We start from the raw sequence: 27,660 nt of genomic DNA, 5'->3' as shown, positions 1-27,660 counted from the left end.
AGACAGTGCATTTTAAAATAACTGTTTTGTTTTTAACCACAATGTGTTTATTTTTCTTTTTCTCTTTTTCTTTCTTTCTTTTTTTTTAAGGAGACAGAGTCTATGTTGCCCAGTCTGGCTTCGAACTCCCGGCAGCAAGTGATCCTCCCACCTTGGCCTCCCAAAGTGCTGGGATTACAGGCATGAACTACCATACCCAGCCACCACAGTGTTTTTTTTAAAAAGTCAGAAATTCAACGACACATTTCTATGAGTGAACCATGAAGACATAATTCTATTTTATCTGATTTAAAAATATTTAGGACTCCAGGTCCTGGAGGGGGAAAAAAGTGTATTTCTGAATCTATGAAAATGTTTTTTAAGGGGAGAGGGGGAGGCAGCTCAGTAATGGAGAGAGGTTCAGAGGATGCAAAGTCACCTCTAGAAAATTGTCAGTGAGAAAACTGTACGAAAAAAGAATTTAAGCAAATTAAGACCAATGAGTGAGTCCCCACAGTTTGCACAACAGTTGATGAGATATTTTCTATGATGTCCTAACAAATTTATAATACACAAAAGGTCATATTTAGTTGTCAATTCTTTATCCGCTTGAGCTTCATCAGATGAGTATAATCTTCAGACTATTTGCTGGGTGATACATTCCTTAGGAACCTTTTCCTCGTGCATTTAAATGCCAAACTCAATTACACTCTCAGTAGAGTAAGCAGAAAGGATTGTACGTATTCTAAGACACGGAGTTGATTGGCTGCCGTTTCTTGCCTTGGTGGTAAGGATAATGGGTAAAAGCTCTAAGTTTGATCCTGAAACACGGAAAACACTCTCAAAGAACCGTGTCTTCTAACATTGCCCAATAGGTAAAAAAAAAAAGACTGCCAAAATTTCCATTACAGCATCCTATTTTTAGTCTTCAAAATTGGGTCTTTTAAATCGCATTCCACAGTACGATGTGTTTGACTAAGTTTACATAAGGAATACAGTAAGCATCCTAAAGTCTTAATCTTTTTAAGCTTAGAAAGGAATTGTAAGCTTTTACATCTTCATTTTTAATCTTAACTTTAAGTCTTTTAAACACACAAACTGAAAAAATTAAGGAAAATATTGGCCCAGAGAGAGGAATGGAAGGGAGACACCACGCGGTTCTTGACAACCAAAGTGGTAGTGATGGGGGGGACCAGGTGTGGGGGGGAAATGAAAACCATCCACGAGGGTGGGGAGAGCGGGCTGTGGGCCACACAACAGAAAGGAACGGAGACCGTGGAAGCCGCAGGCTCCTCCAGGAGCCGGGTGAGGAACGACTTCTGGCGCTAGTCCCCTAGGGAGGGAGAAATTGGCGCGACGCGCAGCAATAGGAGACCCACAGTAGCTGAGAAAGGAGAGGAAAACAGGCGACCTGAGAGGCGGAGGAGGTAAGGGGACCGGGCTACACCTCACCCGGAGGGCAGAGGCTGCGCGGCTGGAGGAGGACAGCGCAGGGGGAGGAGCGAGAGGCTTCCGAAAGGCTTTCCATCCCGGCCGCGAGCCGGCGGGTCCCCTGCATCCCGCTCCTCCTCTCCTCACCTGGGAATCGGAGGCGCAAGGAGGGCTACCGCTGGGCGCCGGGTCTGTTTCCAGCCCCACTCGGCGACATGGCGGCCGACGTGCTGTCACGGAGCTTGCTCGGGTCTCCCCTGGCTCCGGTGGAGGAGACACCTCTCGCCTTTCCGCCCCGCCTCCCTCTGCGCACCCCTCGCGGCTGGCCGGCTGGAGGCTGGCGGCCCGCGACCGCGGAGCATAGAGCACTGGCGGCTAGAGAGGAAGCGCAGAGCGCGGACAACCATAGAGTACGAGTCCGGACACCAGCCGGATGGTCGGTCGCTCTCCTCAACGGTCCACTCACAATCCTCGGGCGGCTGAGCCGAGGCGGAAGCGGAAGTGAGGGAGAAAAGCAGGAAGGCTCCGCTGTTCGCATGCGCAGGCTCTAGTGTTTACTTCCGCTTGACCTGGCCCGGACGCCAGAAAATGTTCCACGTGGGATACCCTGCGTGGGGTTCACTGTAGTAGCTGCACTAGGTGATTCTTGGAGCGGGCCTGAGAGACAAGGACATGTGGATCCCAGTGGTCGGGCTTCCTCGGCGGCTGAGGCTCTCCGCCTTGGCGGGCGCTGGTCGCTTTTGCATTTTAGGGTCTGAAGCGGCGACGCGAAAGCATTTGCCGGCGAGGAACCACTGTGGGCTCTCTGACTCCTCTCCGCAGCTGTGGCCCGAACCGGATTTCAGGAATCCGCCAAGGAAGGCGTCTAAGGCCAGCTTAGACTTTAAGCGTTACGTAACCGATCGGAGATTGGCTGAGACCCTGGCGCAAATCTATTTGGGAAAACCAAGTAGACCTCCACACCTACTGCTGGAGTGCAATCCAGGTGAGTCCAGCTGAATTGCATTTTCTTGGATGTTCATCATTTATTCAAACGTATTGACCCTCCTCGGGGTGCTATTTTAGATACTGGGGGGTCTTTTTTGTTGTTCTTTTGCTTTGAGACGGAGTCTCGCTGTGTTGCCAGGCTGGAGTGCAGTGGGGCGATCTCGGCTCCCTGCAACCTCCGCGTACCGGGTTCAGGCGATTCTCCTGCCTCAGCCTCCCGAGTAGCAAGAACTACAGGCGCGCGCCACCACGCCCAGCTAATTTTCTTATTTTTACTAGAGACGGGATTTCGCCGTGTTGGCCAGGATGGTCTCGATCTCTTGACCTCGTGATCCTCCCCCCTAGGTCTCCCAAAATGCTGGGATTAGAGGCGTGAGCCACTGCGCCCGTCCAGATACGGGTCTTTGTTTGAAGCTCCTTAGTTGGAGAGATTGCCCACTACATAAGCGTAGAGTCTGTATCGTTAATGACACCACAAAGTATTTCTGTAGCAGCTTGCACTTTACACAATATTTTGATAAAACATGCTCTTAGATCTTATCTCCCCAAAAGAGTTGCAAGCCTCTGCCAGCTGAAAAAATGATGTTATCTTATTCTTCCGTGCATTCCCTATAGACCATAGCAGGATGCTAAGAACACAAGATTTATAGGCTTTTTGAATGATAGTTTTTTAAAGCACCATTTCATATCACAGGGAGTCAGTTCTGTTTAGGCTTGACAATCTCTTTGATGGTTAAAGCATCCGTGTAGTCCGTGAGGAAGTGATAGGCTAGAGGCAATCTATTTTGCTGTGACTTTTTTCTTCTAAGAGGTAGTGAATCATGGTGATGAAGAGTGCAAGTTTTGACCTGGTGCGGTGGCTCACGCCTGTAATCCAGCACTTTCAGAGGCCGAGGCGAGTGGTTCCCTTGAGGTCAGGAGTTCCAGACCAGCCTGGCCAACATGGTGAAACTCCGTCTCTGCTTAAAATACAAAAATTAGCCGGGCGTGGTGGCGGGCGCCTGTAATCCCAGCTACTCGGGAGGCTGAGGCAGGAGAATCGCTTGAACCCAAGAGGCAGAGGTTGCAGTGAGCCGAGATTGCCCCACTGCACTCCAGCCTGGGTGACAGAGTGAGACTTCGTCTCAAAAAAAAAAAAAAAAGAGTGCAGGTTTTGCAGTCGCTGACAATGATTTCAAAGCCAAGCTGCATCACTTTTGACGCTGGAGTCAAATAAGTATATATAATCTCCTGTTTCCTTATATGTAAAAAGGAGAGTGACATCTACTTTGCGGATGCTGTCAGATTTAAAAACCAGGTAATAACGTGTGAAACATCTAATGAAAGTTTGGTATTGAAAGAGATTATGTTTCTTGTACAAATAAACTTTTCGTTCTGTTAATGTGCCAGGTCCTGGAATCCTGACTCAGGCATTACTTGAAGCTGGTGCCAAAGTGGTTGCGCTCGAAAGTGACAAAACTTTTATTCCACATTTGGAGGTATATTTTTAGTTTCTCAACGTATGTTATTGTTTGTTCAACTATCTGTGAGTGGTTTAAGGAAATGGAATTAAGCACACAGTGTTTTACATAGAATATCTTTTAGGGAGCCATCTCTGAAATATCTTGTTTATTCCCAAAGACTAGAACACAGTTAATATTCAGTGCTGTTGAATGGCTGAAACATGAGGAGTTCTAAGACTTGTTTGCTAGTTCTAGGTCGGCTACAGCCTAGTTGGGTGACTTTGAACAAAGCGTATAACTGGCATCCCTAGGCTTGTTTCCCCATTTCTACTAAGCTGCGCTGTGCTCCTTTCTTCTGTGAGCTTGGAATCTAATTGGAATAAGTGCTAATATTAGGTTAATGGATCTGTGTAACCTCTATATTTAGGGTTTGAAAGGCAAGAAAGGTTGGCATACAAATTAAGTATTTTATCTGAAATGCTTGGGAACACAACTGTTTTGGATTTCAAATTTTTTCATATTTTGCAATATTTGCATATACATAATGAGATATCTTGGGGATGGGACCCGAGTCTAAAAATTCCTTTTTTGTTCCATATACATCTTATTCATAAGGCCTAAAGGCAATTCTGTATAATATTTTAAATAATTTTGTGCATTAAACAAAATTTGTGTACATTGGACCATCAGAAAGCAAAGGTGTCACTATGTCACCCACCCATGTGAACAATCTCCTTGTTTGACATCGTCATCATCCCTGACTTTTTTTTTTTTTTTAAGATGGAGTTTCTCTCTTGTCACCCAGGCTGGAGTGCAATGGTGCGATCTCGGCTCACTGTAACCACTGCCTCCCAAGTTTAAGCGATTCTCCTGCCTCAGCCTCCCAAGTAGCTGGGATTACAGGCGCCCGCCACTATGCCCAGCTGACTTTTGTATTTTTAGTAGTGACGGGGTTTCACCATGTTGGCCAGGCTGGTCTTGAACTGCTGACCTCAGGTGATCCACCCACCTTGGCCTCCCAAAGTGCTGGGATTACAGGCGTGAGCCACCATGCCTAGCTCCTGACTCCGAATTTATATGCTTCTGATAAGCCATCATTTTCTTACACTTATTCACACATGAGTGCTTAACAGTAGAAAAAATGACATACCATTAGTACAGTAAAAAAAAAAAAAAAAAGTGTGTTCAGAGAAACTAAGCAGCACAGCAGCATCAGAATCCCTGTGTCAGCTGTTGAACAGTGGAAACACACAGCGGCAGGCTTTCAGTCTCCTGGGATGCTGTGTTTTCATTGAAAGGTTACTGTACACCACATTTTATTTTTTCTTAAGAAGAAACATCAGAAGCAGCTGAGGGACCAGGAAGCGGGTCCGTCAAGGCTAAGGAGACATTCTGCCGGCCGGCTTTTAAAAATGTTTCCTGTGGGCCGGGCGCGGTGGCTCACACCTGTCATCCCAGCACTTCGGGAGGCAGAGGCGGGCGGATCACTAGGTTAAGAGATTGAGACCATCCTGACCAACATGGTGAAACCCCGTCTCTACTAAAAATACAAAACTTAGCTGGGCGTGGTGGCGCATGCCTGTAGTCCCAGCTACTCGGGAGGCTGAGGCAGGAGAATCGCTTGAACCCGGGACTCAGAGATTGCAGTGAGCTGAGATCACACCACTGCACTGCAGCCTGGGCGACTGAGCTACACTCTTTGTCTCAAAAAAAAAAAAAAGTTCCCTATGGAGTCATCTGCCTTATTAACAGTGGTTTTTGTCTTAGATGACTCCCTTCGATTTTTATAGACTGACCTCATCTTCGTGTTGTATACCTGCATTTTCACTGCAAGCCTGTCACAGAAGGTCGGGTGTCAAATTTTCCACTTTTGGCTTCATGTTGACACTCAAAAAGTTTCACATTTTGGAGCATTTCAGAATTTTTGGATTAAGGATGCTCAGCCTGTAGTCAGATACAGTTGCATAGAGTGAAGGCATCATCCAAATAGATTTTTCAGTGATTGTGCTTCTTAAAAAGCAGACACATTTACGTAACAATGAAGAAGTGGAAATCCTTTGGGTCTTTAACCAGTCTCTTACTCTCATTCTCCTTCCCTCTTTTATAATCTTCCGTTTCAACTTAGGAAACTTATATTTCTCTATGCCAACTTTGTGAAACCATGCAGAATGGCTGTATCCAAAATTGCATGACAACAAAAAATTGTGAAAATGTCTGTCAAATCCAGTTGTTTAATTCTTTTAAAACTATGAGTATGAAATTATTGTTATTCTACCACTTACTGTTTTGAAAAGAGTTCAAGGTTTTAGCTAGGTTATTTAATTGATGTTAAATCTGAGGGAGTTCCAAAAATGTGAAGAAAAAACACATAATTGTCCGAAGATTTAAGATCCTGAAATGTGATTCAGTAAACATAGTCATCTGTAGTTTCAACTTGGAAATTAAAAATGAGAAGATAACTTTTATCCTGATTTGAGGAAAAAAAAAAGCCTATATTTAAAGGTTAATCTACATATTCACAAAGTAATTAAGATTGTATTAAAATGTCTTTGTTTCTATTTAAAGTTTGTTATTCTGTAACACAGTAGTTGCTTTTTTCTATAAGATCTTCAAGGCTGAGGACCGAGGCCCATGCCTGTAATCCCAGCACTTTGGGAGGCCAAGGCGGGCAGGTCACTTGAGGTCAGGAGTTCAAGACCAGCCTGGCCAACATAGTGAAACCCCATCTCTACTAAAAATACAAAAAATTAGCTGGGCATGGTGGTTCATGCCTGTAATCCCAGTTACTTGGGAGGCTGAGGCAGGAGAATCACTTGAACCCGGTAGGTGGAGGTTGCAGTGAGCCGAGATCGTGCCATTACACTCCAGCCTGGGCTACAGGAGCAAAACTCAGTCTCAAAAGAAAAAAAAAACCTTCAAGATAACAGTTTAATTTTAAAACAATTGTTTAATGAAAAAAGGAAGGTTAGGGACTAGAGAATTTTTGAAACAATAATTATGATAGGAATATCAATAACAAAATGTTTCTGAAGCTATAAATGTCAGCTAAAAATATAAACATCATTGACTAAATCCAGTCTTTGATTAGAACTAGTTTTTTCTCTATTAAGGCTCTTATTTTCTACTAGCACTGACTTGTACTCAACCCTTAGTACATATTCTCTCACTTTTTAGTAACCATTGTTATGATAAATTGAAAAGCCATTCAAATAAAATTTTGTGTGAATTAATCTGTTTGCCAGAGTGAAAAGAGAAGTAACAATAGGTAAGCAGAACTCTTGTGGCTCTAAGTCAGGGACTTAAAGTGCTGCGCTTAGCGGATAATGCTTCTGGCCACCTAAAGTTTGTTCCTGAAAACTGAAAGGAGTTTCAGTGGTGAGAGCTGGGATTACAGGTGACCGCCACCACGACCGACGAATTTTTTGTATTTTTAGTAGAGACGTGGTTTTACCATGTTGGCCAGACTGGTCTGGAACTCCTGACCTCGTGATCCGCCCGCCTCAGCCTCCAAAGTGCTAGGATTACAGGCTTGACCCACTGCACCCAGTAAATGAGACAAACTTAATGACTAACTTAAGTACCTAACTTAATGACTAGTAAAAACTCAAGGGTTACTTGCCTTTTCTCTGTTTTTTCCCATTCTGTTTTTGAATCCTAATGCAATCCAGTTGAATTTTTAAATGTGATCTGTTGTATGAATTGAATTATTTATCCTGAAGCTTTGATTATTATCATGTTTGAATTGTTGAGTGTTAACTGACAAGTGCTAAAGCAAGAATGTATGGTGCCCTCTCAGAACATACAAGTGTATTGAGGCCATAAAGTGTTCATTGTTTATACATTTTCTTTTTCTTTTTTGAGACAGGGTCTCACTCCCATTGCCCAGGCTGGAGTGCAGTGCTGCAGTCACAGCTCACTACAGTCTCAACTTCCCAGGCTCAGGTGATTCTCCCACCTCAGCCTCCCAAGCAACTGGGATTACAGGCACACGCCCCCACACCTGGCTGATTTTTTGTATTATTAGTAGAGACAGGGTTTTGTCATGTTGTCCAGGCTGGTCTCAAACTCCTGGGACTACAAGCATGAGCCACCACACCTGTGCTGTTTAGCTTTCCTTAATTACAAAGATTAAACTGCCTTTTTGATAACTTGAAAGATTATGTTAATGCTATATCAGGGGTGTCCAATCTTTTGGTTTGCCTAGGCCACCCTGAAACATCAACTGTCTGGGCCATACATAAAATACAGTAATAAGAACAGTGGCTGATGAGCTTAAAAAAAAAAAAAGTCCATGCATACATCTCATAATGTTTTAAGAAAGATGACAAATGTGTGTTGGGCCACATTCAAAGCCGTCCTGGGCTGTATGCGGCCCTCAGGCCACAGGTTAGACAGCCTTGCCATGCGTGTTGACTGACAATCGTATGCATTAGGTAGGTACTCTTTCTTTTAGCTTCCATGACACCACACTCTTCTGGTTTTCCTCCTTAGTTGTATTCTCAGTTTCTTGTCATTAGACTTTGGACATACTCTACCTTCAGGGCTAGTCCTCTGTTTCTCCCTAGTGTAGACCCCTGACTTAAATTACCTTCAACAAGCCAAATTCCCACACATTTATATCGTCAGACTGGACCACTCCACTGAGCACCTTATTCAGGTCTGCAACTTCCTACCTGGCACCTCTACCTAGATCACATAGTAGGCATCTCGAAATTAATGTGACCAAATGTGTATGATTTCCACCCCCAGTCTTTCCCTTCCTCTAGTCTTTTTAAAACTTCCCCTTGAAAGTGATTGTTAAAATGTACTAGATTTGTTTGTTTATTTACTTTGGAGATGGAGTCTCACTCTGTCACCCTGACTAGAGTGCAGTGGTGCAATCTCAGCTCTCTGCAACCCCTGCCTCCTGGGTTCAAGCGATTTCTCCCACTTCACCTCCCCAATAGCTGGAGTTACAGGGGTGTGCCACCACCCCTGGCTTACTTTTGTATTTTTAGTAGAGACAGGGTTTCACCATGTTGGCCGTGCTCATCTCAAACTCCTGACCTTGTGTGATCCGCCCTCTTTGGCCTCCCAAAGTGCTGGTATTACACGTGTGAGCCACTGCACCCGGCCAAAATTTACTACATTTTGAGCTGGACACGGTATCACACACCTGTAATCCCAGACACTTAGGAGGCTGAGACAGGAGCATCACTTAAGGCCAGGAGTTGGAGACCAGCCTGGGGACATAGTGAGACTCATCTCAATAAAAAATAAGAAGAAAAAGTATTTTACTAGATTTAGAAATAGGATAATATAGGTTGAATACAAATGCTTAAGAAAAAATAGGTGTTTGCATTAATAACTTTAAGTTACATCATTTCCAACCTTAATAAATATTAATAGAATTTTCTGTGCACAGAAACATCAGTGTACACATTAAAAACATAATGCCTTCTTACTGATTTTTTTTTTTGTAACTTCGAATTAAGTTTATGGAGTCTATAACTGATTCTTGCCCTAACTATGAAGGTCTCTAGTACTACTGCAAGATGAGCAAATCAGAGCAGTGAGAAGACTGAGATATATTAGACCTCTTCCAGCAAACAAGGTGTATAGTTGCTTCTGTCTTTAGAAAAAGTAAATGAAAATTATGGAGATGAGCTAAGTTCATTTATTTGGTGGATAGCTGACTAGATTCCCCTAGAAGAAAGATATTCTCTTGAATCCATCTGCCTTTCACTTTTATATTTTAATTGTTTTTCTTTACTGTGAAACATCTTTCATTTTTTCTTCCCATGACCAAAGCAGATGGCTCACAGTTCTCTGTAAGAGGCCAACCATGGTGTCAGAATCTTTGCCCAGTGCTTCAGGTAACCACTACTAAGCAGGCAGGGAGTGGTGTGAAAAGCTTTTGAATAGCTGAAGCCATTATGATAAAGAAAGTAAGTGGGGCCGGGTGCAGTGGCTCACACCTGTAATCCCAGCACTTTGGGAGGTCAAGGTGGGCAGATCTCTTGAGCTCAGGAGTTTGAGACCAACCTGGGCAACATGGCAAAACCCTGTTGCTACAAAAAATCCAAAAATTGGTGGGGCGTGATGGTATGCACCTGTAGTCCTAGCTGCTTGTGGGACTGAGGTGGAAGGATCACTTAAGCCCAGGAGGTCAAGGCTGCAGTCAGCTGGGATTGCGCCACTGCACTCCTGCCTGGTTGACAGCTTGTCTCAAAAAAAAAAAAAAAGTAAACAGATAAAGAAAAATTTATGATAGTTTATTTCTGTTTGGGGGGCTTTTTCTTGGTAATATTGTACTTTTGCCACTTTTCAGGTATTAATTGATTTTTACTTCCTCTGTTAAATTTTGGGTATGTTAGTAATATTTTCTTTACATAGTTATGGAGGTAGAAATATTTTTTGTAAAAAGGTAATTCAGCCGGGCGTGGTGGCTCACGCCTGTAATCCCAGCACTTTGGGAGGCCAAGGTGGACGTATCATGAGGTCAAGAGATTGAGGCTCTCCTGGCCAACATGGTGAAACCCCATCTCTACTAAAAATACAAAAAACTGGCTGGGTGTGGTGGCACGCACCTGTAGTCCCAGCTACTTGGGAGGCTGGCACAGGATCACTTGAACCCAGGAGGCAGAGGTTGCAGTGAGCCGAGATGGCGCCACTGCACTCCAGCCTGGCAACAGAGCGAGACTCTGTCTCTCAAAAACAAAACAAAACAAAACAAAAAAACCCCAGGTAATTGAATTATTTTTATTTTTACATTTTATTATGGTTTTTTGAAGTAGAGTTTTTTGAATTGCTGCAAAGTATACTTAATGCTGAAAATTTTTAACGTGTTATCTTTGTCTCTCTTTAGTCCTTAGGAAAAAATCTGGATGGAAAACTACGAGTGATTCACTGTGACTTCTTTAAACTAGATCCTAGAAGTGGTGGAGTAATAAAACCACCTGCTATGTCTTCTCGAGGGCTCTTTAAGAATTTGGGAATAGAAGCAGTTCCTTGGACAGCAGGTCATTTTTGGAATTTACTAAAGCAAATACCTAGAATTTGCCAGGTGTCTCTAGCAGTATAACTGATTTGTTGATGAAATTTGTGTTTTATTTATTTGTTTGTTTTCTGAGATGGAGTCTCACTCTGTCACCCAGGCTGGAGTGCAGTGGCGCGATCCTGGTTCACTGACCCTCTGCCTCCAGGTTCATGTGATTCTCCTGCTTCAGCCTCCCTAGTAGCTGGGATTACAAGTGTGTGTCACCACACCTGGTTATTTTTTTGTATTTTTGGTAGAGACGGGGTTTCACCATGTTGGCCAGGCTGGTCTCAAACTCCAGCCCTCAAGTGATCTGCCCGCTTCGACCTCCCAAAGTGCTGGGATTACAGATGTGAGCCACCGTACCCCGCCGAATTTGTGTATAATTTATATTATATTAATACAGTTTATGAGCAGATGCTCTGACTCTGAATATGGCATTTACCTCACCTGGACACAGGTACCCAGTTTATTTCCCCAAAAGCCAAGTTTCATGCCAAGGAAAGATATTGAGGCTTAGTTTTAATTGAAATAAACTTGAAATTAATATAGTTTGTTAACTTAGTTTGTCTCAAAAAAATATGGACATAGGACAAAATGCTAAGAACTTTATTCAAATCTTTTTGCTTATATTCCTAACAGACATCCCTTTAAAAGTAGTTGGAATGTTCCCAAGTAGAGGTGAGAAAAGGGCACTTTGGAAACTCGCATATGACTTGTATTCCTGTACTTCTATATATAAATTTGGACGAATAGAAGTAAATATGTTTATTGGTGAAAAAGAATTCCAGGTATGTTATTAACAAATACCTATTTTTTGTTCTGAGTCTGTAATTTTTCTCTGAGTACTCTTAATCTGTGCGATTTTAATTTAGGGCTCGTGACATTTGAGGGTCTAAGATTGTTTTTAAATTCTGCAGAGCAGTCTTATGCTCAGGTTGCTTTTTCAGTGTACAGTTGAGTGGTTTTAACTGCATTCCCATTGTACAGCCATTACCATCATCTGTCTCCAAAACTTTTCATCATCCCATACCAAAACTCTGTACTCATTAAACACAAACTCTCGTTTCCCTCTTCCTGCGTCCCCTAGTAATCATTATTCTACTTTCTGTCTCTATGAATTAGACTATTCTCTTTACCTCATGTAAGTTTACTCTACAATATTTCTTTGTGTCTGGCGTATTTCACTTAGCATAATGTTTTCAAGGTTCATCAATGTTATAGCATGTGTCAGAATTTCATTCCTCTTTAAGGCTGAATAATATTCCATTCTGGCCGGGCACGGTGGCTCACTCCTGTAATCCCAGCACTCTGGGAGGCCAAGGCATGCTGATCGCTTGAGGTCAGGAGTTCGAGACCAGTTTGGCTAACATGGCAAAACCCTGTCTCTACTAAAAATACAAAAATTAGCCAGGCGTGGTGGTGCATGCCTGTAATCCCAGCTACTTGGGAGGCTAAAACAGGAGAATCACTTGAACCTGGGAGGAGGAGGTTGCTATAAGCCCAGATCATGCCCCTGCACTCCAGCCTGGGCAACAGAGCAAGACTTTGTCTCAAAAAAAAAATCTATTGTATATATATACTACAGTTTGTGTGTTGATGTATCAATGACATTTGGTTGCTTTTACCTTTTGGCTGTTGGGAATAATGCTGCAATGAACATGAGTTTACCAATATCTCTTCAAGTCCTTTGAGTGTACAGCTAGAAGTAGAATTGCAGGATCATATAGTAATTCTATTTTTAGTTTTTTGTGGGTTTTTTGTTTTTTGTTTGATTGTTTGTTTGTTTTTTGAGACAGGGTCTTGCCCTGTTGCCCAGGCTGGAGTGCAGTGACATGATCACAGCTCTCTGCAACCTGGACCTCCTGGGCTCAAGCGATCTTCCCGCCTCAGCCCCCAAGCTGGGACTGCAGCCACACACCACCAGGCCCAGCTTTTTGTAGCGATAGGGTCTTGCCATGTTGCTCAGGCTGGCCTCCAACTCTGGGACTCAAGCAGTCCTCCTGCCTCAGCCTCCTAAAGTGTTGGGACTACAGGCATGAGCCACTGTACCCAGTCTATTTTTAGTTTTTTGAGGAACTGCCATACTGTTTGTTATCCGTCGTGGATGCACCATTTGATATTCCTACCAGCAGTGCACAAGGGTTCCGATTTCTCCACAGCATTACTGAGAGTCGTTTTCTGGGTTTTTGGTAATACCTCTCCTAATGGTATGAAGTGGTATTTCATTGTGCTTTTGATTTGCATTTTCCTAATAATTAGTCATGTTGAATATATTTTTATGTACGTACTGACTGTATATCTTTTAAGAAATGTCTGTTCAAGACATTTGCCCATTTTTAATGGGTTATTTTGTTTGTTGCTGAGTTTTAAGAGTTCTTTATATATTCTGGATATTAATCTCTTATCATACATGATTTACAAATATTTTCTCCCATTCTATGGGTTGCCTTTTAACCCTGTTAATTGTGTCCTTTGATGCCCAAAGTTTTTCATTTTGATGAAGTCAACTTTGTCTTTTTTTCTCTTTTGTTGCCTGTGCCTTTGGTATCATACGTAGCTGGGCGGTCCCCAACATCTTTGGCACCAGGGACCAGTTTTGTGGAAGACAGTTTTTACGTGGATGGCGGCGGGGATGGTTTCAGGATGATTCAAGTGCATCACATTTATTGTGCACTTTATTTCTATTATTATTACATTGTAATATATAATGAAATAATTATACAACTCACCATAATGTAGAATCAGTGGGAACACTGAGCTAGTTTTCCTGAAACTAGATGGTCCTACTTGCGGGTGACAGGAGATAGTGACAGATCATCGGGATTAGATTCTCATAAGGCCCTTGCAAAACCCAGATCCTTCGCATGCGCAATAGGGATTGTGTTCCTATGAGAATCTAAGGCGGCTGCTGATCTGAGAGGAGGTGGAGCTCAGGCGGTGATGTGAACGGTGGGGAGCGGCTATAAATACGGATGACGCCTCGCCTGTTCACCTGCCGCTCACTTCCTGCTGTGTGGCCCAGTTTCTAACAGGACACGGACTGGTATCAGTTCGTGGCCCGGGGATTGGGGACCTGTGTCGTAGCTAATAGATCATTGCCAAATCCAGTGTTGTGAAGGTTTCCTTGTGTTTTCTTCTAAGAGTTTTATAGTTTTGGCTCTTGTTTAGGTCTTTGATCCATTTTCAGTAAATTTTGCTTATGGTTTCAGTGTCCAGCTTCATTCTTTGATCTAGTTTTCCCAGCACCGTTTGTGGAAAGACTGTTCTTTACTGCCATTAAATGGCTTTGGCGTTGGTGTCAGAAATGATTTGACCATATGTGTACGCGTTTATTTCTGGGCTCTATTGTATTCTATTGATCTAAATATTTGTCCTTAGGCCAAGACAACACTGTGTTGCTACTGTTACCTTGGTAAGTTTTGAAATCAGGGGCTGATTCATCCAAATTTATTCTTTTTAATGATTGTTTAGGCTATTTGAGTTTCCTCGAGATTCTATATGGATTTTAGGCTGGATTTTTCTGTTTCTCCAAAATGCGTTAGGATTTTCCTAGGGATTGCGTTGAATCTGGAGATTGCTTTGGGTGGTAGTGGCATCTTAACAGTATTCAATATTAAATCTTCCAATCCACGAACATGAAATGTCTTTCCATTTATTTGTGGGTTTTGTTGTTGTTGTTGTTTTCATTTTTGTTTGACACAGGGTCTCACTGTCGCCCAGGCTGGAGTGCAGTGGCAGGATCACAGCTCACTGAAGCCTTGACCTCCCAGGCTCAGGTGATGCTTCCACCTCAACCTCCCCAGTAGGTGGGACTACAGGCGTGCACCCCCGTGCCTGGCTGATTATTGTCTTTTTTGTAGAGATGGTTTTACCACGTTGCTCAGGCTGGTCTTGAACTTCTGGGTTCAAGTGATCCTTCTACCTCAGTCTCCTGAGGTGCTGGGATTGCAGGTGTGAGCCACTGTGCCTGGCCTCCATTTATTTGTGTTTTTAATTACTAGCTTTTAAGTTACTTTTGGTGCTATTGTAAATGGAATTGTTTTTCGAATTGTCCGTTGGTAGTGCATAAAAATGCAACTGATTTTTGTATCCTGCAGCTTTGCTGAATTTATTAGGTTTTTTGTTTTGTTTTGTTTTTTTTAGACGGAGTCTTGCTCTGTCGCCCAGGCTGGAGTGCAGTGGCGCAATCCCGGCTCACTGCAACCTCCGCCTCCCAGTTTAAGTGATTCTCCTGCCTCAGCCTCCTGAATAGCTGGGATTACAGGCACGCGCCACCATGCCCAGCTACTTTTTTTGTATTTTTAGTACAGATGGGGTTTCACCATGTTGGTCAGGCTAGTCTCAAACTGGTGACCTCATGATCCGCCTGCCTCAGCCTCCCAAAGTGCTGGGATTACAGGTATGAGCCACAGCGCCCAGCCAGGTTTTTTTTCCCTCCCTTTGTTTTTAAATAGAGACAGTGTCTCACTTTGTTGCCCAGGCTGGTCTCAAACACCTGGGCTTAAGTGATCCTCCTCCCTCGGCCTCCCAAAATGCTGGGATTACAAGTGTGAGCTACCATACTCAGCTGAATTTATTAGTTTTAACAGGATTTTTTTTTAATATTTAAGGGGTATTATAATTATTTTTTTTAACTTTAAAACATTAAAAGAAATTTTTTTAGAGACAGGGTCTTGCTCTGTTGCCCAGGCTTGAATGTCGTGGTATGTTCATAGCTCACTGCAGCCTCAAACTCCTGGGCTCAAGTGACACTCCTGCCTCAGCCTCCCTGTAGCTGGGACCACCTGTGCACACCACCACACCCAGGTAGTTTATTTTTGTAGTGACAGGGTCATGCTGTGTTGTTCAGGGTGGTCTTGAACTCCTGTCTTCAAGTGATTCTCCTGCCTCGGCCTCCCAAAGTGCTAGGATTACAGTTGTGAGCCATTACACCGAGCCTAAGATTTGAGACTCTAGTTCAATTCTCTGTAATGGAAGGTCTTCCTGACAACCTTGATCTCGCTATGAGTGTCATCTTTCTTTTCTGCCCAGAATGTTTCATGTTATTGATCTGTTAATCCAGTTTGACGGGAAATGCTTGTTTGTCTTGCTGTGTTGCCCATGCTGGAGTGCTATGGCTTTTCACAGGCACGGTCATCTCACACTGAACCCCCAAACTCCTAGACTCAAGCAGTCCCCTTGCCTCAGCCTTTCGAGTAGCTGGGACTACATGTGCACACCACTGCACCCAGCTTTTTGTATCTAATTCTAGTTTTCTCTGCTTAAATTTCTAGATGCTATTAAGATAGTACTATTAAGACTCAAAGAAGATTAAGATTTTTATAATGCTTATTTGTATTGCTATGGATTAGGATAGTGGGGCAAAAAATGAAGGGATGATTTGCTCCCCCAGACCCATTTAGTAAATACATATTTGCTAGCCATGGAAAGACAGCGAGGGCCTCAGGACCTTGGGGCTGTGCATACGCTATTCAACAAAGGAAAGACAAGGAGAAGAATAGGAAGTGCTGTGTTAGATTCCTGCTGCTAGGGTTATATTCCACTGGCCCATGCCTCTTTTGCCGTGGACCTTTTCACATGTGGTTTCTTGTCTGCGGAGTGCCTTCCCATTCGTTGAGGTAACCTCGTCCTTTCAAGTCAGCCTTAACACTTGTGTGTTGTTGTTTTTTAAGAGATGCGGTCTCACTATGTTGCCCAGGCTGGTCTTGAACTTCTAGGCTCAAGCATCCTCCCACCTTGGCCTCCCAAAGTGCTGGAATTACAAGCGTGACCCCGCGTGCCCTGCCGTTGCCCCTGCCGGAGTGCTGTGGCTATTCACAGGCACGATCATCTCACACGGAACGCCCAAATGCCTGGGCTCAAGCAGTCCCCTTGCCTCAGCCTTTCGAGTAGCTGGGACTACAGGCGTGCACCGCTGCACCCGGCTTTTTGCATCTAATTCTAGTTTTCTTTTCTTAAATGTCTAGATGCCATTAAGATAGTCCTATTAAGAGTCAGCATTTGTTTTTAATTGATTATAGATGTGTATAACATGTAATTTTTATTTTCCTTTTACTAGAAACTAATGGCAGATCCCGGAAATCCAGACTTGTATCATGTATTAAGTGTTATCTGGCAATTAGCTTGTGAGATTAAGGTTCTGCACATGGTGAGTAAAATCCTTCTGTTTAAAAACGTTTTTCTTTAGCGACAGGGTCTCATTATGTTGCCCAGGCTGGAGTGCAGTGGCACAATCATAGCTTGCTGCAGCCTTGAACTACTGGACTCAAGTGATCCTCTCACCTTAGCCTCTGGAGTAGCTGGGACTACAGCCAGGCGCCACCATGCCTGGCTAAGTTTTAAAATGTTTAAGAATATTGCCCAGCCTGGTCTTGAACTCCTGGCCTCAAGTGATCCTTCTGCCTTAGCCTCCCAGATCACTGGGATTACAGGCATGACCCACTGCACCTGGCTCTATTTTTTATTTTTTTATTTTTTGAGATGGAGTCTCACTCAAGTCACCCAGGCTGGGGAGCAGTGGTTCGATCTCGGCTCACTGCAACCTCTACATCCTGTATTCAAGCAATTCCCCTGCCTCGGCCTCCCGAGTAGCTGGGACTACAGGCGTGCACCGCCACACCTTGCTAATTTTTGTATTTTCGGTAGAGACAGGTTTCACCACATTGGCCAGGCTGGCCTTGAGCTCCTGACCTCAGGTGATCTACCCGCCTCAGCCTCTTAAAGTGCTGGGATTACAGGCGTGAGCCACTGCGCCTGGCCCTGGCTCTAATTTTTAAATATTTACAATGTGGATCTTCACGTGTTCTCGTCACTGCTTCCGCCTGAGAATATGCTGAGGTCTTCAGTCTGCACCTTGCTGTATTTTTTTTTTAAGCTCAGGAATGTTATCTCATTTGATTTTAGCTTTTGTTCCAATTCTTTTTTTTTCCCCTCAAAAACATTTGAGGTTCTTAGGTTGGATCTCTGATCCTTGTCTTTCGTGTCTGTCATGCTCTCATCATTTTTCTCCATTCCCAGAATCTCTTCACACTTAGTCTTCACATCACTGATTCTGCTTTCTGCCTGCACTGTATATTGTACTCTCAGTACTATAGTTCTTGGTTTCTCTAAAATTCTTCCTTACCCACTGATCTTGTCTCATTCTGTTGACTTTCATCTCAAGTCTTCTGTCCTGGTAGCTTTCAGCTAGTTTCTTCAGAGAGGCCCTCTGAGGACTTTAGCTTGCAGAATGTTTTCGTCTTCTTGTTCCCTTAGTATTTGCTTTCAAAGGTCCCGTGTTAGGTTTTGCCATTTACTAAACTCCAGAAAGGAAAGGTCTTTCTGGACCTAACGTTTCTCAGCACTTGCTCCACTGTGTGTCTACATCTGTAGAGTAAGTTGTTGAAGTCAATTCCCAGTGTCTTGCAGGTTTTCCTCCACTGTGCTTGATGAGGGGAAAGCTGTTGAGGCTCGACCAGGCGTGTGGGAAGTGGCAGTACTCATTGTGCACGGCTGATGGTGCTTTTCTTCCCCCACTTAAAGTGACATTCCTGGAACTGCTAGGAATTTCACAATTTGGCCACAATTATATGTTTTAGCCACTCTCATTGCCCCTGCAGTTAATAATAAATTGTTACTTGACAGTAGCCTTTCAGACCTTGTGTTCAATATTGTTTAGTCTTTTAAGCCTATGTCAGATCTATTTTAACCCACTCTTATTTTGGAATTTAATATGGTTATGGGTATGTATAGTTTTTTTAATAGAGAATACTTTTTCAGGTGGGTCGGTTTTTTATTTTGAGACACGATCTCACTCTGTCAGCCCAGGTTGGAGTGCACCAGCACAATCCCGGCTCACTGCAACCTCCGCCTCCCAGGCTTAAGCAATCCTCCCGCCTCAGCCTCCCAAAGAGCTGGGACTGCAGGCATACACCACCACACCCAGCTAATTTTTGTATTTGTTGAAGAGACAGGGTTTCACCATGTTGCCCAGGCTGGCCTTGAACCCCTGAGCTCAAGCGGTCCTCCTCCCTCAGCCTCCCAAAGTGCTGGGATTACAGGCATGAGCCACTGTGCCTGACCGGATCATCTCTTAAAATTGCCTTATGCACAAAATTCTCTTACAAAAGATAGATACCGAAAAATAGTGATCCATTTTAAAATTGACACTAGGTTTTTGTTATTGTTGTTTTTGGATAGGGTCTCACTCTGTTTCCCAGGCTGGAGTACAGTGGCTTACTGCAAACTCCAGCTCCCAGGCTCAAGCAACCCTCCCACTTTGGCCTCCCAAAGTGCTGGGATTATAGGCATGAACCACAGCACCTGGTCGACACTAGTATCTTTATTTGTTTATTTCCATATATGTTCTAACATATTCAAATAGTTTGATTAGTAGGCTTTTCCACTGAAGTAGGGCAAAAAGAAATCCTCAGCATTAATCTAATATCCCTTAAACTGCTGATTCTGACTGTGATATGGAAATATTGAGTGGTAAAAATTATAACAAATACTTATTTGCGTAATTGCATAACAGGCGAAGTCATGTTTAATAAGGAAAAGAGGTACTAGTATTTGGGTAGACTTTTGATCCTCCTCCTCTTTAAAAAAATTAAGGAGAGAGATGTGTATTATTTAGCTATAACATGTTTCTTTTAAATCCAATTAGACTGACCATTCTCTTATTTAGGCAAGGTGTTTTTTAAGGAAGTAATAACTGGGGCACTTTGACCAAAGAGAAATAAAAGATGTTGTTTTGCTTTGTTTTTCTTCCCCAGGAGCCTTGGTCATCATTTGATATATACACCCGGAAAGGGCCGCTGGAAAACCCAAAGCGTAGGGTAAGAATAAAATAATACCTTTTCCTTTTTCTCCCTACGTGACGTATTTTTTATTTTATTTTTTTAGGACTATTTGGTAGTCTGTATTTAACTTTTTAATTTTAAAATATCTAGAAACATTCTTTAAACATATCTTACTACTTTTAATGAATCAAAAGTATTTTGGAAGAGTTATCAGCTGTTATACAATGGATGCTAGCATAGTAATAGGCTTAAAAACAGAATCTGAGTTCTCTTCTTATATCTTTTGAAATGAAGGTACATTTCAAATTTGGAAAATAAAATCATTTTAATATTTATCTAATTCGATTAATTAGAAACAAAATTTTATGACGTATTAATCGATTAGAAATTTGTGATATTCAAGGTCAAGAGATCGGGACCACCCTGGCCAACATGGTGAAACCCCGCCTCTATTAAAAATACAAAACTTAGCTGGGTGTGGTGGCGCATGCCTGTAATTCCAGCTATTCAGGACGCTGAAGCAGAAGAATCACTTGAACCTGGCAGACAGAGGTTGCAGTGAGCCAAGATCGTGCCACTGCACTCTAGCCTGACAACAGAGCGAGACTCTGTCTCAAAAAAAAAAAAAAAAAAATTGTGATATTACTACTCTTATTACATGGTTGAATTCACTGATAGGTACTTCTTGATTTTTACCCAGGAGTTAGGCCTTTATTTTTGTTCATTTTTTAATCTTTGTACGTAAGAACCAAAGTGACAATGTTATAGTCCTCCATTTAGTTTATCTCAGGGCTAGTTGTGAAATTCTAATAAAGTAGCTAAAGTTTCACAAAACAATTTTTTGACTCAATTCAGAAGTTTCACTTTAGAATTAGATGCCTGTCTTTAAGGTTTGGGGCTTAAAAAAAAAAAAAACGAATTAAATGCTAACAATGGCCTAATCTCAGCATAACAGCTTAGTCTGAAGATCTTGTTTGTTTGCTTACTTATGTTTTTTTCTCACACTTGCCACTAAAGGAAAAAGAAAATTATCAGTTTTCTTTCAATGTTGTGATTTTAGAGTGATCAGTCATCATTGTGCTTTTAGTTCTGTTTGACTATTTATACAGCATATTTATGTAGTCCCAAAAAACAGAATAGGAATAATGCATTTTGTCTAATACAGTACATTTGGATACTATTGGGGACTTATCCAAATATTCCACAAATGAACAATCCTGTATATAATATACTTTCTCAGTTTTTCAGCAAGAAGCTGAAAAGCTTAAGTTTTTTTGGCCAACTTAAAAATATAAACTTGGCCGGACGTGGTGGCTCACACCTGTAATCCCAGCACTTTGGGAGGCCGAGGTGGGTGGATCACGAGGTCAAGAGTCTGAGACCAGCCTGGCCAACGTGCTGAAACCCCATCTCTGCTAAAAATACAAGAATTAGCTGGGTGTGGTGGCGTGCGCCTGTAGTCCCAGCTACTCAGGAGGCTGAGGTGGGAGAATCAGTTGAACCTGGGAGGCAGAGTTTGCAGTGAGCTGAGACTATGCCATTGCACTCCAGCCTGGATAACAGAGTGAGACTTTGTCTCAAAAAAAAAAAAAAAAAATGTGTGTGTGTGTGTGTATATATACATATATAAACTTTTAGGGATGAAGATGAAATAAGCAAATGTCATATTTTATGACAGAATTTATTTTAGATATTTCACATGTGTCTTTGATATCAAGGTGCTCATATTGCTATGGAAGCAGTTTGAGACATTTAACAGGTTTTTAGGGCCTGTCATTTCTATCCAAGTTTTGTTTGAGACCTACTTTTTAAATATCCGATTAAAAATTTTAGTCAATAACTTTTTTTGTCCTTTGGATCCGATGGTGATGTTTTATCTTGAATATAGCAAGGACTCAATATATGTTAATGCCATGTTTGGGTTTTTTTTTTTTTCCTTTTTTTATTTTTTATTTATTTATTTTTTTGAGGCAAAGTCTCATTCTGTCACCCAGGCTGGAGTGCGATGGCATGATCTTGGCTCATTGCAACCCCTACCTCCCGAGTTCAAGTGTTTCTCCTGCCTCACCCTCCCGAATGCTGGGATTACAGGCATGCTCCACCACGCAGGGCTAATTTTTGTATTTTTAGTAAAGATGGGGTTTCAACCACGTTGGCCAGGCTGGTCTCAAACTCCTGACCTCAGGTGATCCGCCTACCTTGGCTTCCCAAAGTGCTGGGATTACAGGCGTGAGCCGCCACGCCCAGCCTATTTTTTTTTCTTTTTTTAAAAGACAGTGTCTCACTCTTCTCCCAGGCTGGAGTGCAGTGGCATAATCACGGCTTACTGCAGCCTCAAACTCCCGGGACTCAAGTGATCCTCCCACCTCAACCTCCCAAATAGCTGGGACCACAGATGTGCATCCCACGCCCAGCTAGTTTGTTTGTTTGTAAAGAAGGAGTCTCCCTGTGTTGCCCAGGCTGGTCGCTAACTCTTGGGCTCCAGCGATCCTCCTGCCTCGGCCTCCCAAAGTGTTGGATTGTAGGTGTGAGCAACCCGGCCTCATGTCTGGGATTTGATTTTACCCTACTTACATGTTAATAAATGTTACTGTTTCTCGGATGTTGGCCTAAGACTCCTGGATCAGACAGAGGATGTTCTGTGCCTCTCTTCCCATGGAGTGATGTGAGGTGGCTCAGTTGGGTGCCTTGCATTTAGTGGACTTGCTTTGCAGCTGAGAAGTACAGAGCTGGGGGAATCTAGGTCTTTTTTTTTTTTTTTTTTTTTTCGAATCAGGGTCTTGCTCTGTCACCCGGGCTGGAGTGCAATGGCGTAATCTCGGCTCACTGCAAACTCCACGCAGCAGTCTCAAGCATCCTCCCATCTGAGCCTCCTAAGTAGCTGGGGCTACAGGCATGCACCACCATACCCTGCCAATTTTTGTACTGTTTGTAGAGACAGGGTTTCGCCATGTTGTCCAGGCTAGTCTTGAACTCCTGGGCTCAAGCGATCTGCCCACCTCAGCCTCCCAATGAATCCTCCTCCTTCATAGCAAACATTAAGCAAGCCTGCCCTTTTGTTTTTTTAAGAGAAGGCCTGGCTCTGTCAACCAGCCTTGAGTGCAGTGGCATGCTCTCAGCCTCCACCTCCTGGGCTCAAGCCATCCTCCCACCTCAGCCTCCCGAGTAGCTGGGACTACAGGCACACACCACCACACCCAGCTAATTTATTTTTTATAGAGATGGGGTTTTGCCACGTTGTCCAGGCTGGTCTTGAACTCCTGACCTCGAGTGATCCACGCCTTGGCCTCCCAAAGTGCTGGGATCATGGGCATGAGCCACTGCACCCAGCCACAGGCCTGCTCTTTGTCCTGGAGAGAGACGTTATCTCCTCCCTCAAGGTTACTCATCACAAACAACTCTGAGAAATGGCCCAATTCATTGGTAAAGACCAATTAGGGCTTTGTGTTCTTGGTGTACACAATAAGAAAATGTGGGCCGGGCACGGTGGCTCACGCCTGTAATCCCAGCACTTTGGGGAGGCCGAGGCGGGCGGATCACGAGGTCAGGAGATCGAGACCATCCTGGCTAACACGGTGAAACCCCATCTCTACTAAAAATACAAAAAATTAGCCAGGCGTGGTGGTGGGCGCCTGTAGTCCCAGCTACTCGGGAGGCTGAGGCAGGAGAATGGCATGAACCCGGGAGATGGAGCTTTCAGTGAGTGGAGATCACGCCGTTGTACTCCAGCCTGGGCGACAGAGTGAGACTCTATCTCCAAGAAAGAAAAAGAGAATGTGAAGACACTCAGGGCCTGTGGTGATTGTGTCTTTCAGCAGATAGCTTGAAGGAAGAAGTGAGCAATGTCTTACTCTGGCAATATTTTGTGACTAATGCAATTCATTTTTTCTTCTCTCCAGGAATTATTAGACCAATTACAACAAAAGCTGTATCTTATTCAAATGATTCCTCGTCAAAATTTATTTACCAAGAACTTAACACCTATGAACTATAATATATTTTTTCACTTGTTAAAGCACTGTTTTGGGAGGCGCAGCGCCACTGTAATAGACCACTTACGGTGAGTAAAAAGAATAAAAGCAAGTATAAAGTAGCAACGATGCACAAATTATTCTTTCATGCTAGAGATCTATTTTTATATCTTGATTGACAGAGTGAGGTACCATGTTTTCCCTCATATTTCTTCAAAATAATTTGTTCTCCCTGGTGTACATTTTGAGGAAAATATATTTTTCCCATAATCTCTCATTGAGTTTCATTTATTTTTCCTTCTTTAAAAAAATGCCCAGATTGTTTAATCTTTTTGAGAGTATGGGCTTAGCTTTATCTTACAGGAAGCACTAGCTGCCTACCACTAGTGGGGTGGAGAGAAATCAGCATTACTGGAGGCGTGCCCACACTTACCTCTCATTGCTTGTCTTCAGTGGTTCTGTTCCTTAACCAGAGTAGGGATAGATAATTATACCACCCTGGTTCCCTTGCTCTGGATCAAATTTTGTTTTTACCCAAAGCTTTGTAAAAATAATAGCTTGTAAGTAACACTACTTGCTTTATGTCTATATAAGTGAAAAACATTTTTTTGTTGTTGTTAGAGACAGGGTCTCGCTGTGTTGTCCAGGCTGAAGTGTAGTGGCACAGTCTCAGCTCACTGCAGCCTTGTCCTCCCAGGCTCAAGTGATCCTCCCACCTCAGCCTCCTGAGTAGCTGGGACTACAAGCATGCACCACCACGCCCGGCTAATTTTTATATTTGTAAAAATATAAAATTTTTATATTTATATTTTGTGTTTATAAATTGTATGCCAATTTTTGTAGAGATGGGGTTTTGCCACCTTGCCCAGGCTGGTCTCAAATTCCTGGCCTCAAGCAATCCACCTTGCTTGGCCTCCCAAAGTGCTGGGGTTACAGGCATGAGCCACTGCACCTGGCCATCCATGTAATTTGTATGTAGGGCTGATGCACACACCTCTGTAAGTAGTGCTGGGGTTACAGGCGGGAGCCACCATGCCTGGCCATCCATGTAATTTGTGTGTAGGCCTGATGCCCACACTTCTGTAAGTACAGCTCAGGTTACCAGCATGAGCCACTGCGCCTGGCCATCTATGTAATTTGTATGTAGGGATGATGCATACATCTCTGTAAGTAGTGTTGGGGTTACAGGCATGAGCTCCCGCGCCCAGCCATCTGTGTAATTTGTACATAAATCCATGTAATTTGTATGTAGGGCTGATGCATACGTCCCTGTAAGTTGTGCATTATGCCTTGTAATCAGCAGCCCATAGTCATTCAAAGTCTCGCCAGAGGATGGGTAAAATGTTAAAATAATTATTTTAACAAATTTGATCATTTAATATTTAACTCTGAATGAGCTGTTGACTAGACAATATTTATCTAAAAATAAATGTTAAAAGTGGCAATAGCCTGGGTGCAGTGGTTCATGCCTGTAATCCGAGCATTTTTGTGAGGCCAAGGTGGGAGGATCACTTGAGGAGGCCGGGGATTGGAGGCTGTAGTGAGCCATAAACTCACCACTGCATTGCAGTGTGGGACACAGAGCAAGCTGACCTTGTCTCTAAAAAAAAAAAAAAAAAAAAAATTGGGAGGCAGAGAGCGCCAACAAGACTTTGAGATGAGCCTGGGTGACAGAGCAAGACTCTATCTCTAAAAAAAAAAAAAAAAAAAAGTGGTAATAGACTAGTAAAAGGCAATAGACTAATAAAAGGCAATCTATTATTTTTCATCTTGCCACCTTGTGGCTATTTTGAATGAAAATATCAAGAAAATAGGGAAATAAGGAATAAATGTTGTAAATCATAGTGCAAAATATTAAAAATGCTCCTGGTAATCTCAGTGGACTAGAAACATGTTACCAAGATTCTATTCAATATCAAAAAGTATTGGAATTGAACAGACAGAGAGTCTCACTCTGTTGCCCAGTCTGGAGTACAGTGGCACAATCATAGCTCACTGCAACCACAAACCCCTTGCTCAAGTGATCCTGCCTCAGCCTCTTCCCTGAGTAGCTGGGACTACTATGCCCACCACTATGCCCAGCTAACTTTTTACGATTTTTGTAGAGATGGGGTCTCACTATGTTGCTCAGGATAGTCTTGAACTCTTGGGCTCAAATGATCCTCCCACCTAGCCCCCCAAAGTGCTGGGATAACAGGTAGGAGCCACCGCACCCAGCCCAAAATATTTTTTTACAATTGTTGTTGTTGGAGGCTTATTGATGGTTTGTTGCTAAGCTGATACACAGTTATGTACCTCATATTATGGTATATAATATACCTCATTGATTATATATTGTATATATATTATATAATATACCTTATATATATAATACCTCATAATGAGGCGTGTTCGTTATACCTCGTTTCAGTCAGTAGTGGACCAAATGTACAATAGTGGTCCCATAAGATTATAAAGATGCTGTATCTTTTACTGTATCTTTTCTATTACTTACCATTGTGTTACAGTTGCCTACAGTATTCAGTACAGTAACATGCTGTGCAGGTTTGTATCCTTGGAGCAATAGGCTATGCCATATATCCTAAGTCTGTAATAGGCTATATCACATAGGTTTGGGTTAAGTACTCTGTAAGATGTTCAAGCAACAATGAAATCACCTAACAGTGCATTTCTCAGGACATACCTCCATCATTAAGCAATGCATGACTGTATAAGGAAGTTTGCGGCTTTATAATGTATTTACCAATGATGGTTACATCAAAATGTGAAAAATGATTCCCTCTTTGTAAACTGCCAAACAGCAACTTCTGCTGTTTATAGTTACTGAACTTTGACATGAACCAAAAGAAGTTAAGAATATTTTTTGCAGAAAGGAAAAGGATGAAAGAGGTAGGCATAATAATTTTTTCAAACGGCAGTGATTAAACTAGAATTCGGTGTAAAAATTGATTAGAGTATGTGAAAGCCTAAACCTGCTATTAATATTTTCATTATAGGTTAGCTATGAAACTTTAGAAATAAGCATAAAGTTACTGGAAGCTCTTAAACTAAATAAGATTGCTTATATATAATAAGTTAGGCTTTTTTTTTTCTTCTTATTTCAATAGCCTTAGGAATACAAGTGATTTTTTTGGTTTCATGGATGGATTGTTGAAGTCTGGGCTTTTAGTGTACCCATGCCCAAATAGTGTACATTGTACCCAGTAGGTAGCTTTTTATCCTTCACCCTCCTCCCATCCTTCACCCTCCTCCCATCCTCTTCCCTGCTGATTCTCCCGTGTCCATTATAGCACTCTGTATGCCTAAGTTAGACATTTTGAATTCAACTTAGAAGCCATTTCTGTCACCGTGAACTGATAGATGCATGAGAAAGAATTAAGTACATTTACTTTGTATTTCTTTTGCAGTTCATTGACTCCACTTGATGCGAGAGATATATTGATGCAAATAGGAAAACAGGAGGATGAGAAAGTAGTTAACATGCACCCTCAAGACTTCAAAACACTTTTTGAAACTATAGAGCGTTCCAAAGATTGTGCTTATAAATGGCTGTATGATGAAACCCTGGAAGATAGGTAGCAACTAGACTGTCGTTTTTGGTGGAGCGGTTCATTTATTTGGAAACTATGACATGAAAACCAAATTTGAAAACTCACATCCTTTCAGCAGAAGGTAACTGTTCTTGTCTTGCACAAGCCAGGCAGATCATTTCTCCTAAGCTGATATCATTGGCTTATTGGATGAAACAGTGTCTGCTATTTTATTCACAATTGAATAAAATGAAAACTTCAATTAATTGTGGATTTGATCAGATTGAATTCGTTTTGTTTCAGATTCCTATTTAAATATTTCACTTGTACTGTTGCTGATTTTTGCATCTTCTTGAAGAGCAAGAGTCTGTACATTATTAAGCTTAGAAAGTAAGCAAAACTGATTTACTGGTTTGCCTTTCAGTTTGTTGAAATGTATTGTCAAGTACTGTACAATGAAATTGTTTAAATTTTAATATGATTTAAGCTTTTTAGAAATTAAAATATTTTAAATAAGAA

The 27,660-nt window shown here is 42.4% G+C and overlaps 2 protein-coding genes across 6 annotated transcripts in view, besides 3 other annotated features; one reads left to right on the top strand and one right to left on the bottom strand.

The window, feature by feature from the left end:
- CNST (consortin, connexin sorting protein) overlaps nucleotides 1-1,765 on the bottom strand; it is a 102,140-nt gene extending 100,375 nt beyond the window's left edge. For 2 of the 4 annotated variants that reach the window (XM_011544111.2, NM_001139459.2), the window contains exon 1: nucleotides 1,432-1,765. The gene's annotated coding sequence lies outside the window, so the exon portion shown is untranslated. The remainder of the gene's footprint in view (nucleotides 1-1,431) is intronic. The other 2 variants (NM_152609.3, XM_011544112.2) reach the window with 1 other exon arrangement.
- Nucleotides 1,161-1,660: an enhancer, noted in NCBI's record as "active region_2857". NCBI's record gives its function as "activates an Ori minimal core promoter by ATAC-STARR-seq in GM12878 lymphoblastoid cells {active_cell/tissue: GM12878}" and the evidence as "EXISTENCE:reporter gene assay evidence [ECO:0000049][PMID:35858748]".
- Nucleotides 1,701-1,760: an enhancer, noted in NCBI's record as "active region_2856". NCBI's record gives its function as "activates an Ori minimal core promoter by ATAC-STARR-seq in GM12878 lymphoblastoid cells {active_cell/tissue: GM12878}" and the evidence as "EXISTENCE:reporter gene assay evidence [ECO:0000049][PMID:35858748]".
- TFB2M (transcription factor B2, mitochondrial) lies at nucleotides 1,960-27,660 on the top strand. Of its 2 annotated transcripts, NM_022366.3 has the most exons (8): nucleotides 1,960-2,395; nucleotides 3,787-3,875; nucleotides 10,687-10,840; nucleotides 11,500-11,648; nucleotides 16,919-17,008; nucleotides 19,614-19,676; nucleotides 23,540-23,700; nucleotides 27,019-27,660. In NM_022366.3, exons 1-8 carry the CDS (start codon nucleotides 2,083-2,085, stop codon nucleotides 27,188-27,190), a joined length of 1,191 nt encoding a protein of 396 aa, NP_071761.1. In that variant the 5' UTR covers nucleotides 1,960-2,082; the 3' UTR covers nucleotides 27,191-27,660. The 2 variants fall into 2 exon arrangements, with proteins under 2 accessions (NP_071761.1, XP_011542550.1); XM_011544248.2 differs by lacking the exons at nucleotides 10,687-10,840; nucleotides 11,500-11,648.
- Nucleotides 1,991-2,270: an enhancer, noted in NCBI's record as "active region_2855". NCBI's record gives its function as "activates an Ori minimal core promoter by ATAC-STARR-seq in GM12878 lymphoblastoid cells {active_cell/tissue: GM12878}" and the evidence as "EXISTENCE:reporter gene assay evidence [ECO:0000049][PMID:35858748]".

Source organism: Homo sapiens, chromosome 1 (genome assembly GCF_000001405.40).
Source record: "Homo sapiens chromosome 1, GRCh38.p14 Primary Assembly".
NCBI classification, from domain to species: domain Eukaryota; kingdom Metazoa; phylum Chordata; class Mammalia; order Primates; family Hominidae; genus Homo; species Homo sapiens.
The sequence above is the reverse complement of the archived record's forward strand: the minus strand, read 5'-3'. Positions and strand labels throughout refer to the sequence as shown.